Below are 12,199 nucleotides of genomic sequence, written 5' to 3'. Positions count from 1 at the left end.
TGTTTTTGTTATTCTATATTTTTCTACATGATTGCTGTTAATTGCTAGATAGTATTTCATTGTCAATAAATTTTCATAAATTTTCTACTTTATGCTATTATTAGCTATCTTGAGATGTCAATTTATAGCTAAAACCTTTATGTATCAATTATTATATCCTTAGAAGAAATGTTCTGCAGTGGAATTTCTGCTACCATCAATTCTTGCTCTCTTAACTCTGTATCTTTCCTCCACTCACTGGTCTGTTTCTGATCTTCTTTGTGCTGAGTATCTTCCATTTAACTCTTCAGACCCACTTCTTGGGCTGCTTCTGTGTCTCAGAAGGTGGATCTGCATGAACTTCATTAACAAACTCCCTGGCCCTCTTGCTTTTGTTTGGGTTTAGCCACTAAAGCATGATGCAAAGATTGGAGGATGGAGAGAGGACAGTGAAGTTGGGGTGCTGACTCTACTCCCCTGGAGCTCTGCCATTGGCTGGTTGATTCCTCTACTGAGCATCGCAGGTCCTGCCAGGAAGTTCTGTCCACCAGCTCCTCTCCCTTCTGTCTCCAGGTTCCAGCCATGGCTCCCTCCCTCACTCATCTGGTCTAGGGTAACAACAGAGCTCAATGTTAAGTGGCACCACGGTAGTGCACTATCCTTTGTGGGTTCTCTACTCTCTGTTCAAACCTTTGTACATAGTCCATTTATTAAAATTCCAAATTACCTAATTTGAGTGTGCCATCAGTTCATGGCCATGCCACTTATGCAGCCAGCCCCTTTACAGCAAATCCCTTCATATTGAGTTTTCATTACTTACTGTCACTTTCTCTCTTCTTTTTCTATCTTGAAAAACGTCCATCATGCTTCTGTCCTATCATAATCACAAAACAGCAATGCACCCCACATTGCTAAATCCGAAGTGCAGGCTTCAGTCCTCACCTTTCTTGAGCCATCAGCAGTATTTGGCCTTCCCTTCCTGAAACACCTTTTGGTCACTTCACTGCTAGAACATCATCTGTAGCTCTCCACTGTCCTTTGCTGGTTCTTCCTAATGTTCCTAACCTCTAACATTGCAGTGGTAGGTGCCCCAGGCTTCAGACCTCTTGTCTTCTCTATTTATACTTATTCTTGGTGATTTCCTTTCTTTCCATGGATTTAACTGTCATCTCTAAACCAACTACTTCCAAATGTATACATCAAGTTAGTACCTCTTCCCTAAACTCCAGACTCATATACCCAACTGCTTACTCAATATCTCAGCCAGAATTATCTCTACTTTCACAAATGTAGAACACTTGAATTGTTTTTACAATTCAAGGTAAACGTGTAAATGGAAATTTCATTCGTCTTGTATCTTAGGTCAAAAACTCAGGAGCCATCTCTCTTTCTCCCTTATCACATGTCCAATCTCTCAGGAGATCCTGTTGACTGACATCAAGATGGACAGAAATCCAATGGCTTCTCATCAACTCTCTACTGTCATTTCTCACCTAGATAAGAGAAAGACTTCTGAACTGGTCTCCTGATTTTTACATTTGCTTGTCTGCTCCTCCAACAGACTCTTTTCAGAGCAACCAGATTATGTTATCCATTTGTTCAAAACCCCAGTGGATTCTCATCTCATTCAGAATAATGCCAAGGTCTTTCCAATGACCTGCAAGGTCCCCAAAAATCTTGCTTCTTGGTATCTCTCTATTCTTATCTCACATCACTCTCCTCCTCACAGATTGTCCTTGCTAGCCTTTAAACACACCAAGCACACCTTTGCATGTATTGTTCCCTCTTCCTGGAATGTTTATAGAATGTTCTTCCACACAGTATTCAGAGATTACTTTCTAAATTTCTTTAAGTCTCTGTTTAAATATCATGCTACCAGAGGCTTGTCTTGAAAAGCACAAAACTAACTGCACCTGGCATTCCCTTAATCTGTTCCTGTTTTTATAGCAGTGATCACCACCTGATATATTTTATGTACATTTTTAATGCCCTTAAAGCCTTTTTCTTGTCCCTAGAATTAAGCTCATTGAGAGCAAGAGTGTGTTTGTACCTTACTATATCCTCAGTACTTAAAACTATGCCTAGCACCATCACAGGCACCTGGGAAACACATTTAATGAATAAACAAATGAATGAAAGGTTGTGTGTTGTGTATTTTTTTCCTTTTAAATGCTCATTATGGAATTGTAAAAACATATACAAATTACATAAAATTGTTTAATGCATTTTCACTTCAACAGTTATTAATATATGAACAATCTTGTTTTATTCTTCCTACCCTATTTCTCTCTACTCATGTCTTACTAGATAGTTTTAAAGCAAACCCCTGATGTCATTTCATCTGTAAATCATATGTATATTTTTAATTGTTCTCCAAAAATTTATGCAATTTATATTCACTATGAGCAGTGTTTAAGATGTCCATTTCCTTACCTCCTTCTTATACTAGTAGGTGTGATCATATAAAAATAATATTTGTCAAGTTTATTGGTAAAATTCATCTCATTTTATTTTTGAATTAAAAAGAACAGTGAGAAAAAAGAAAGTTCTTGAAGTGTGAGATAATATCCTCTTCTTTTACCTCTATGGCCTTTCACAATGCCAAGAAATGAATAAAAATTAAATTATATTAACTTGTATAATGGTAAGATTAGAGTTTTTTCTTAATCATCTCAGCACATATTACTAGAAGGAACATAAGAAACAACAATTTTTTAAAAAATCCCTTCTTTGATTGTAACTGGGTGAGAAGAGGGCCTGGTGTGAATAGAGAAATGGCTGAGAAAAAATAAGTCATATGTTCCTAGCCAGTATCTTTTTCAATTGGTCACCTCAATAGATAACCTTTTTTAAAAAAAACTTTCCAGAGACTTTGCCCAATCTTTGAAGCCATCCTCCAATGCCGGAGGAAGAAAGCCAGTCCAAGGTGCCCCTGGGCCTCTCTTCTGCTGTGGGACTGGAGACAGATTGCATCCTGGCAGGGCCAGGCTGGTCTGTGTTGGGAGGCTCAGGTTGGCGGTTCTGGCAGTTACACAGAACAGCTCTGTAGCTCTCTCTGGAGAAAGTCTTCTGTTCTCCTAAGTGTTAGCATATTAAGCCTCCAGCCACATGGAATAGGATGGGGAGGGGTTTGGAAAAGAAAATGTGAAGACAAATGGGGATTTTTAAAAGCAGAAAAGAAAATCTAGTGCTCAGAACAGCATTCTTTAACTTAGTCTAGCTATAAATTTTGTCTCTTGTTGATTTCCTGACTTGGAAAGAACCCATTAATGAAAGGAAAACACACACACACACACACACACACACACACACACACACACACAGAGGCTGGAAGCTCAACTGTGACTTTTTAAAATGGTAAACCTAGTACCATTCATACCTGTAAGATGTGAAAGGAAGATTTGAAAAAACCTCATTTTGTCATTTTACCAAAGGCCTTGAGCAACCTATTCAAAAGATACAAAAATAAATTTAAAATCTGGGTGGAGGCTGCAGAAGTGCTTCCCTTGCCTTTTTCTCCCGCTTGCTTTACCAGTGGAGCCTGAAGCTTCTCAGTTCATTGTCACGTTTACCTCCATCCTTTCTCTGCCAAGAATCTGATGGTTGAGTTTTCAGTTAGTTTGGGAGTAAGGTAGATCCTTGTTGTAACTTGCTGAGACTCATCCAACTAGATTTCTGGGAGGGAAATTGATTCCTTTTCCTCGCTGAGGGGTATAACAACAGGCCAACAATGTCTACGCTCCATGTAGATAGACACTCACTAGACCATGGATTGACCTCCTTATCAATCAATGTACAAATTAGTTGGAGGTGAAAAATGTAAGCAGAGGTCTGCAAGGAATAAGGTCTTCGTAGGCTGGTCCTTTCTGCAGATTCCTGGGAGGGCTTCTGATGTTTCCAAGCTGCTGCTTATCTGAGGCTCTTGACTTCCACAGTCCTGAAGGGCAGACCCAAGAAGAGGGGGCTTTCCCTAAGTGTTCCACAGACCCTCAGAAACTTCTAGCCGAAGCTCACATTCAAAGTCCTTAGACTAGTCTTCAGAGGTACCTGTGCAGAGTCTCTTAGGAACATAAATCTGAATAGCATCATAATTGATGGTCTCCTAGCCCTTCTTTCAGCACCCTAGACTTAGGCAGGAGGGACATTGCGCTACTAACTCTTCCTTGGCTGAAGATGAGTAGCCACAGTCCCCAAAAGAGTTATTTCCATGGCTTCTTGGTGATAAAGTGAGGGGAAGAATGAGCCCAGGATAACCCTCATATGTCAATTGGAGCTCCATGTTCTGTGTAAATGTCCTCTTTCTGGCATGTTTGTCCCTGACTGAGTGCCAATTTCCACTCTCTCACTCCTTTCAACCTCACTGTCTTCAATGCAACACCTTCCCACTCCTGAAGACTCATGTTTGATTTTGTCGCTAGTACTAGTTTACTATTATTAACCTTTTTATTTCATCTGCAGTGGCAAAATATAATTGTCATAACTTAACATGACCCATACAAATACACGATGAACATGTTCAAAGTGTATTCAACTCATTTATTAATGAGGGAACCAGTAGATATAAAGTTATTTCAAACAAAACATTTTGAGAAACTATTTATAGGCAATTTTAAAAATAATAATATTAGAGTAAGATTATTGTCCGTTTAAACACAAAACAACTTAGTGTCCTACCAGGCAATAAACTGTTGCTTATCTTTTTTACCACACAGAAACTATTCACATCTCTATTGAACAAAAACTACTAGTAAAGACATAACTCCACAGTGTATGTGCACTAATCAACAGTAAATGGCAAAGTCAAACAGTGGTACATCAGCCTACAAAATCAAATAATTTAAAGGTGTGCCTAAAATATACACTAAAAGATAATGCAGCTATCCTCTGGACCTTATTTATAGGTTTTAGATAATTTTTCTTTATAGCAGGAATGCAAGTCTAATACTATGCTGTTATTCCAATCTAGTTTATAAATTTCTGACAATATTTAAGAAGTCTCATTAGAATGCATTTGTCATTAGTTGAGGTATCAGTGCATCATATGTACTTGTTAGCAGAAAAGAAGAAGGAAAAATGTTTATCTGAAAGTATTTGCTAAAAGGCTCATCCATCATGCCAGGCACTAGGACTCATTAGCCGGAGCCCTCAGGGAAGATCATTAAGACAGAAAAGCTGAGTAATCAGGAACCATTGCTGATACGATCATGGCAAGGTAGAGATTGGGAAACTGATTTAAAAATTGAGATCAAGGAGCATGCAGAGTGGAAAGCCAGAAAGCAAAGCTTGAGGCTAGAGCAAGTCAGATGTCAATAGCCAAGATCTTAATGAGCTACAGGCCTCATAGGTCAGGACAGATGAGGTAGGCAGATGGACAGGGTCAGAGCACTCAGATAGCCTACATCAGGGGCACGCTTCCCAGAAAGCTTTGGCCTCAGATTACACTTGACACTCCCTATCTACCCACACTAGAAAGGTTGCCTAACCCTGGGGCAGAGGGCTCCATCCCAGGGTCAAATATTGCCCAGCTATGTGGGCTCTTCCACTGCTTCCATTGTTTAAAAACTAGAGATACCTTTCAACAGCAAAAAAAGTGTATCTATATATAAGAATATTTCTATATTCAAGGGGCTAAATGCCTCCAGATATTGATTTCTGATTTCTGAATCATTCCTAAGTTGTTATATCTTTGCCATTTAATGGCAAGATGTGTATTATTGATGTATCTCCCTGATATCAGGGAAAGTGTAATTCATATTATTGCATGAACAAGAATCCTAAATCTCTTTTGCCTGTAGTAAGTGAAGGTGATATGAAAATTAATCAGGGTAGGAAGGTATTATGAGGAGCAGAGATCTTTTGGAGTTTTGGAGTGACTATCCAGAACATAATCACTTTTCTGAGTATGGTATCCCTTTCTCCATACATAAGGGTTGACCCTGGCTGTCATGTTTATACTATATACACGCATTACTTTGACAAAGCTGGTTGAACCTGGGTAGTACCTGAAACAAGCTAGGTCAATCGATGGTTCTATCTTGAGAACTTGAAACTGGGATTCAGGTATGCAAACTCTGACACCATTGGAGAGTCATATATTATAACTTTATTGTATAATATGGTTGTCACTAGACACATGTGGCATTTTGAAGTTAAGTTTAAATTAATTAAAATTTTGAACCTTAGTTACCCCAGCCATATTTCAAGTGCTCAATAGACATATGTGGCTAGTGACCTACCATATTGAACAGAGCAAATGTGGAATAGAGCTAATTTTTCCCTCACTGTAGAAATTTTTTGGATAGCACCAACCTGTCACATGCTGGGAGTAGAGAAAGCCTGTAAGCAGGTACAGGGAAAGAAAGTAGATGTGCAGACAGAAGTAAAAACAAAAGACAAAGAAATGGTGGGATGTTGGCTGCCTCTACTATCTAGGCCCTTGTTCTAGCATTTAGGAAGACTCAATTTTTTCTTGCCTTTAAACTCCATGATACGTGTGTATATGTCCATTCAATAAATTCTCCTTTTTCACCTAAGCTAATTTGCTTAGAATTTTTTACTTGCAACTTAAAGGTGCAAGGTATGAAAACCAGCAGCAGGTTAAGATGATTTGAATCATTTTAGCGCTCCCTAATCTTGTTTCTCAAACACACTGTGGCACTGAAATACTCTGATAATTTTGCTATTTTCCCCTTTCTTTTCTTCTGCAACATTCATATTTATCTGTGGTAAAAATTCCAGAAAGCTACTGACCAGAAGGTATTAATCTTTAACTTTAAATCTCTGAATAATATAGTCTAGCTCATTTATACAACTTCTGGATACAGGTAAAGTGTGTTAAAGTGGGGCCTTAGGTAAAGAATTCATTACAGGATGGCTTTTTTAGTTTCTCTGTCCAAAAATGTACCACCAAAGTGCCTCACATGCAGTCAAGATGCATCAGAAACCTCAAGTTTATAACATACAAAATATTTCAGGAAAAGAGTACAGAGAGACAAATTTATATGACTTAGGAGCTGCCTCAGAAATATTTTGCTTTCACTTAGTGTTTTTTGCCAAAACTTTTTTGGAGAGAAAGCAGTGTATCTGCTGACGTCACTTTCAGACTCACAGGCTTGCAAAGCAAGAGTGATCTTGACCTCGGGCAGGCAAAATACCTTTGATCTTCACCAGCCACTGTAGCTGCCGAGATTATCTCAAATGCTAAACAGAGGAGAAAGCACGCCTGAAGCTATACTAACTCCACTACTTGCCATGTGCAATGATCCGTTACAGGGAAGGGGCTGCTGTGAAAAGTGATTAAAGTCTATGGGTGGCAGGAAAAGGAATGTATATCAGAAAAAGAAATGGTCTGCTACGTGAAATTCTGCCTACTGTCTAAGGGGGCTGGATGACCTTCATTGTATGGAGATGGGTTTGTGTTTGTAAGTTTAGGAGCAGGATCCAGAAATATAAAGGAGAGAAGAAATGGAATTAGAAAGTCTGGGTAATGAGGATAATCTAAGCAGAAAATAGAGTAAATATCAAGGCTGGATTCTGTAAAAGGGGTAGTCCAGAGAAAGAAAACTAACAAGCAAAGAAATCCAGTGTAGAAATGGCCCAGAAAAGACTTTAAGGAAGAGAAATGTCTCATACAGGCTTAATAATTGTTTCATGAGAGATGCTCAATGTAAATCTTCACTTTAACTTCTCCTCCATAAAACTGTAATAACACCTGCCCTTCCAAATAGCAAAGATCTCTCATGTTGAAAGTGATAAACAAGCATGACACATTTATGGGAGGTAGGCCAAAGATATATCTCTCAGTGCGAGGGTATTCTATGTCATTCTTTTCATAATCAATGCTTAACTTTTATTATAAGATGGTGGCCTCAAATAAACTTTATGAAGCTATTTAAATCTGAAAGAAAGTGACATTTCAGCCATCTTAAGTTGAAACTTCAGATTATTGCCCAAACAAGGTTAGTTGTTACTCAGATTTAACTAGAAACAATGAGAAAGGAGCAACTGTAATAAAAAAGTAACAATTACAATAGTTATTGCTTCAATTCACTATTTATTATATTCTTTGTACTATACTGATCTCTGTCTACCTATATAATCTCATCTAACTTTAAGAGCAAACTTAAACTCTTACAATAAACCTCCATTTTATAGATGATGTCACTGAAACCAGGCAGTTTAAGTAACTTGCTTAAGGTTAAACTCTAAGTAATAGAAGCAAAATTCGTATCCAGATACTCTAATCATGGCTGCAGCAAAAAATAGATGGCACTTACAAGTTGGAACTTGGAGAATTTAACAAATCTATGAGGAAGGTGCAAGGAAGCCACAAAATACTTCCAGGGCTAATTCCTGTGGAAATATATTACTATCCTGATACAAAGTTGCAGAGGAGGTGGTGGTTATCAGTGAACTGTGCAATGAAGACCATCTTTCGGAAGCTATGACCTTCTGTCTGGGACATGGTCAGCCCATGGTGACCACAGAAAGGAAGCTGGGGGCTTAGAACATGGAACACACACACCCTTCCCTCTTTCCACTGGTGCCCCCCACCCCATTGACAAAACTCAAGGGGAAGCCAATTCTTTTTATGAGCTTATTCTTTGGGGCTGTTGAATTTCACATCTGGGTCAATGGATTTAAAAAATTGAGAATTTAGGAGCCCAGAAACTAGGAGGCCCATGGAAATCTTGGGAGGCTTAGACTTCCCCAGGCTATGGAATTAGGGGTATAAGACTATTCTTTCTAGATACCAAGAGTCAGAGTCTAAATTTAATGTCTGGTTTGCATACAGGCAAAGAGTTTCCTTAGGTTTGAAGTTACATCCCTTGTTTGCTGAACTTGCTGTTGTTTAAAATGTATTAATATGTATCCCAGATAAGCAAACACTAAGAGAATTCACTACCAGTAGACTGGACCTAGAAGAAATGCTCAAAGGTATTCTAAACATGGAAATGAAAAGACAACACTTACCATCATAAAAATACACATAAGTAGAATACTCAGATTCTTTTGTTTTGTTTTCTCATAATTAATCATTCTGATTTGCAGCCTTACTTGTTTCAATCATTGAGATCCCATTTTAATGGGATTAACATTTTTTTTCCATTTATGGAACAGTGCTGGTCCCTAATTTTTGAGAACAGCCATAACCCTTGACTGGCCTTATTTAAATAAATTATAAGTTAATGTCCTTGAAATCAGAGTATCATTCAGGAGAACATGCTGTCAATCAGAGTAGAAAAAAGTAGGAAAGTGGGCCAGGCATGGTGGCTTACACCTGTAATACCAGCACTTTGGGAGGCCAAGGCACGTGGATCACCTGAGGTCAGGAGTTCGAGACCAGCCTGACCAAGATGGTGAAACCCTGTCTCTACTAAAAATACAAAAATTAGCTGGGCGTGGTGACAGGCGCCTGTAATCCCAGCTACTTGGGAGGCTAAGGCAGGAGAATTGCTTGAACCCGGGAGGTGGAGGTTGCAGTGAGCTGAGACTGCACCATTGCACTGTAGCCTGGGTGACAGAGTAACACTTCATCTAAAAAAAAAAAAAGTGGGAAAGCTCACAGATTCTATAAAACAATTAGGCAATTCAGAATCCGAGGCAACTAGCTAACAACATAATGACAGGAAAAACACCCTCAAATATCAATATTAACCTTGAACATAAATGGTCTAAATGCCCCACTTAAAAGATATGGACTGGCAAATCCTATAGATAGGATTTTTTAAAAAAGAAAATCTTCTGCTACAAGAGACCCATCTAATGGCTAAAGACACCTAATTCAAAGTAAAAGAATAAAAAAAGACATATCACACAAATTGAAAATAAAAGTGAGCAGAAGTGGCCGTTCTTATATGAGATAAAACAAACTTTAAGCCAATAACAGTAAAAAAAAAAAAAAAAAAAAAAAAAAAAAAAAAAAAAAAAAAAAGATGCAGAACAGTATACAATGATAAAGGGTTCAGTACATGAAGATTTAACTATCCTAAATGTATACACACCCAAAATCCAGATTCATAAAACAAATACTACTAGATCTAAGAAGAGAGATTGAAAGCAATACAATAATAGTGAAGGACTTCCCCACCCCAATGACAGTAATAGGCCATTAAGGCAGAAAGTCAGCAAAGAAATTCTGGACATAAACTGTACTATAGACCAAATAGTTCTAATAGACATTTATAGAATATTGTACGTAACAACTGTAGAATATATATCTTTTTTATCTGCACATGGAACATTCTGTAAAATTGACCACATGCTTGGCTATAAAGAAAATCTCAATAAATTCAAAAAAATCAAAATCATATTGATTATCTTCTCAGGCCGTAGTGGAATAAAATTAAAAATTAATACCAAGAGAAGCTCTAAAAACTACACAAGTACATGGAAACTAAACAAATTGTTCCTGAATGACTTTTGAGTAAACAACAAAATCAAGTCAGAAATTAAAAAAAATTAGAAATGAATGAAACTAGAGACACACTTACCAAAATGTCTGAGATACAGCAAAAGCAGTGCAAAGAGGAAAGGCCACAGTATTAAATGACTACATCAAAAAGACAGAAAGATCTAAAATTAAAAACCTATTGTCATGCCTCTATGAACAAGATAAACAAGAACGAACCAAACCCAAAGCTAGCATAAGACAAGAAATAAAAATCAGCACAGAGCTAAATGAGATTGAGACCAAAAAAAGGATACAAAGGATGAACAAAATGAAAAGCTGTCTCTTTGAAAGAATTAAAAATAAAAGAGAAATTTATAGACCACTAGCTAGTTTAACCAAGAAGAAACGAGAAAAAGCTAGGGCCAACATGGCTGACTAGAAGCAGCTAGTGTACACCGCTCCCACAGAGAGAATAAAAACTGGCACATAAACGCTAGATCTTCAACTGAAACATCCAGGTAGACATATTGGGATTCATCAAGAAAAGAACTTGACCCATAGAGAATGGAGAGGAGTGAGACAGGCTGACTACCCACCTGGAAGTGGCACAAAGCCAGGGCAGGCTTCCCTACTGTGGAGAAGTGTTGAGTGAGTGAGAGCCCTCAGGGACCCATACTTCTTCTGTGGACCTTTGCAACCCTGGGCTCAGTAGATCCCTTTGTGAGCCCATCCCACTGGTACCTTCAGACTGTCTCACGGAACTATATGAAGTCTGGGCAGGGCCACCACTAAGCCACATGCAGAGTCATGGGAGCCTTGGACCCCTGGGCATCCCAGCATTAGTGGCTACAGCTCCAGCAAGAGTGGAGGTCAGGCTCCCTCACACACTCCCAAGAAAGAGGCCAAATCCATGATCAGCAATGAACTTCAGGCCTCACCCCTACTGCACCTTACAGAATAAAGCCCACTAACCTGGGACTCCAACCACTCCCAACTAGGGTTCTCAGGCCAGTAGCAGCTATGCACGTTCCTGAGATGGAGCTCCAACAGGAAAAGGCAAACTTCCATTTTTTGCTGTCATTCAGCCCTCATTGCTGTTGCCTTCAGGTTCTGAAGGGTGCACGGTGACTAGGGACAGCTACGGATTCCCAGAGCAACACAACCACCCCCCAGAAAAGTGGCCAGGCTGTTTTTTAAGTGCTTCTCCTCACTGGGTGGGACCTCCCAACCCAAAACTCCAGCCACCCCTGACAGGGCTTTCCAGCTGGTAGCAGCCCTGCACTTCCCTAGGACCGAGCTCTAACAGGGAAAGGCAAGCTACAATTTCTGCTGTCTCACAATCTTTGTCATTGTTGCCTTCAGGCTCTGGAGGGTGCATGATGACTAAGGGCAGGTGTGGATTCCCAGCACAATGCAGCCATCCCACAGAAAAAGTGGCCAGACCACTTTCTACACAGGTCCCCAATCCACTTCTCCTTACTGGGTGGGGCCTCCTGACCTGGGACTCCAGCAAAACTACCCTACCCCCACTTGAACACATCAGTTGAAGATGGCTATGCAGTTCTCTGAGGAGGAAATCCCAGATACAATCCACAAGCCCTCACCATTGGAGCTGCAGTGGTACCACTCTAACTGCCCTCAGGCTGGGGAAGGAAAAAGGGCCTAGTCACTGCATTGTCACCTCCAGCACACTGCAGCCACCATATGGAGAGGAATCCAGTATCTCTTCCCTGTGAGTACCCCCATCCACCCTTCACCAGGCAGGACCCCCAGCTCATGACCACAGATCTGCCACCCCATCCATGACTGAGCACACCTACCAATAGT

General features: G+C 39.5%; 1 annotated feature.

Moving 5' to 3' along the window:
* Positions 11,059–11,559: an enhancer, noted in NCBI's record as "H3K27ac hESC enhancer chr13:80310911-80311411 (GRCh37/hg19 assembly coordinates)". NCBI's record gives its function as "activates a minimal SCP1, AML or CMV promoter by ChIP-STARR-seq in naive H9 embryonic stem cells {active_cell/tissue: H9 hESC(naive)}" and the evidence as "EXISTENCE:reporter gene assay evidence [ECO:0000049][PMID:30033119]".

This window comes from Homo sapiens, chromosome 13 (genome assembly GCF_000001405.40).
Source record: "Homo sapiens chromosome 13, GRCh38.p14 Primary Assembly".
Classification (NCBI taxonomy): domain Eukaryota; kingdom Metazoa; phylum Chordata; class Mammalia; order Primates; family Hominidae; genus Homo; species Homo sapiens.
The sequence above is the reverse complement of the archived record's forward strand: the minus strand, read 5'-3'. Positions and strand labels throughout refer to the sequence as shown.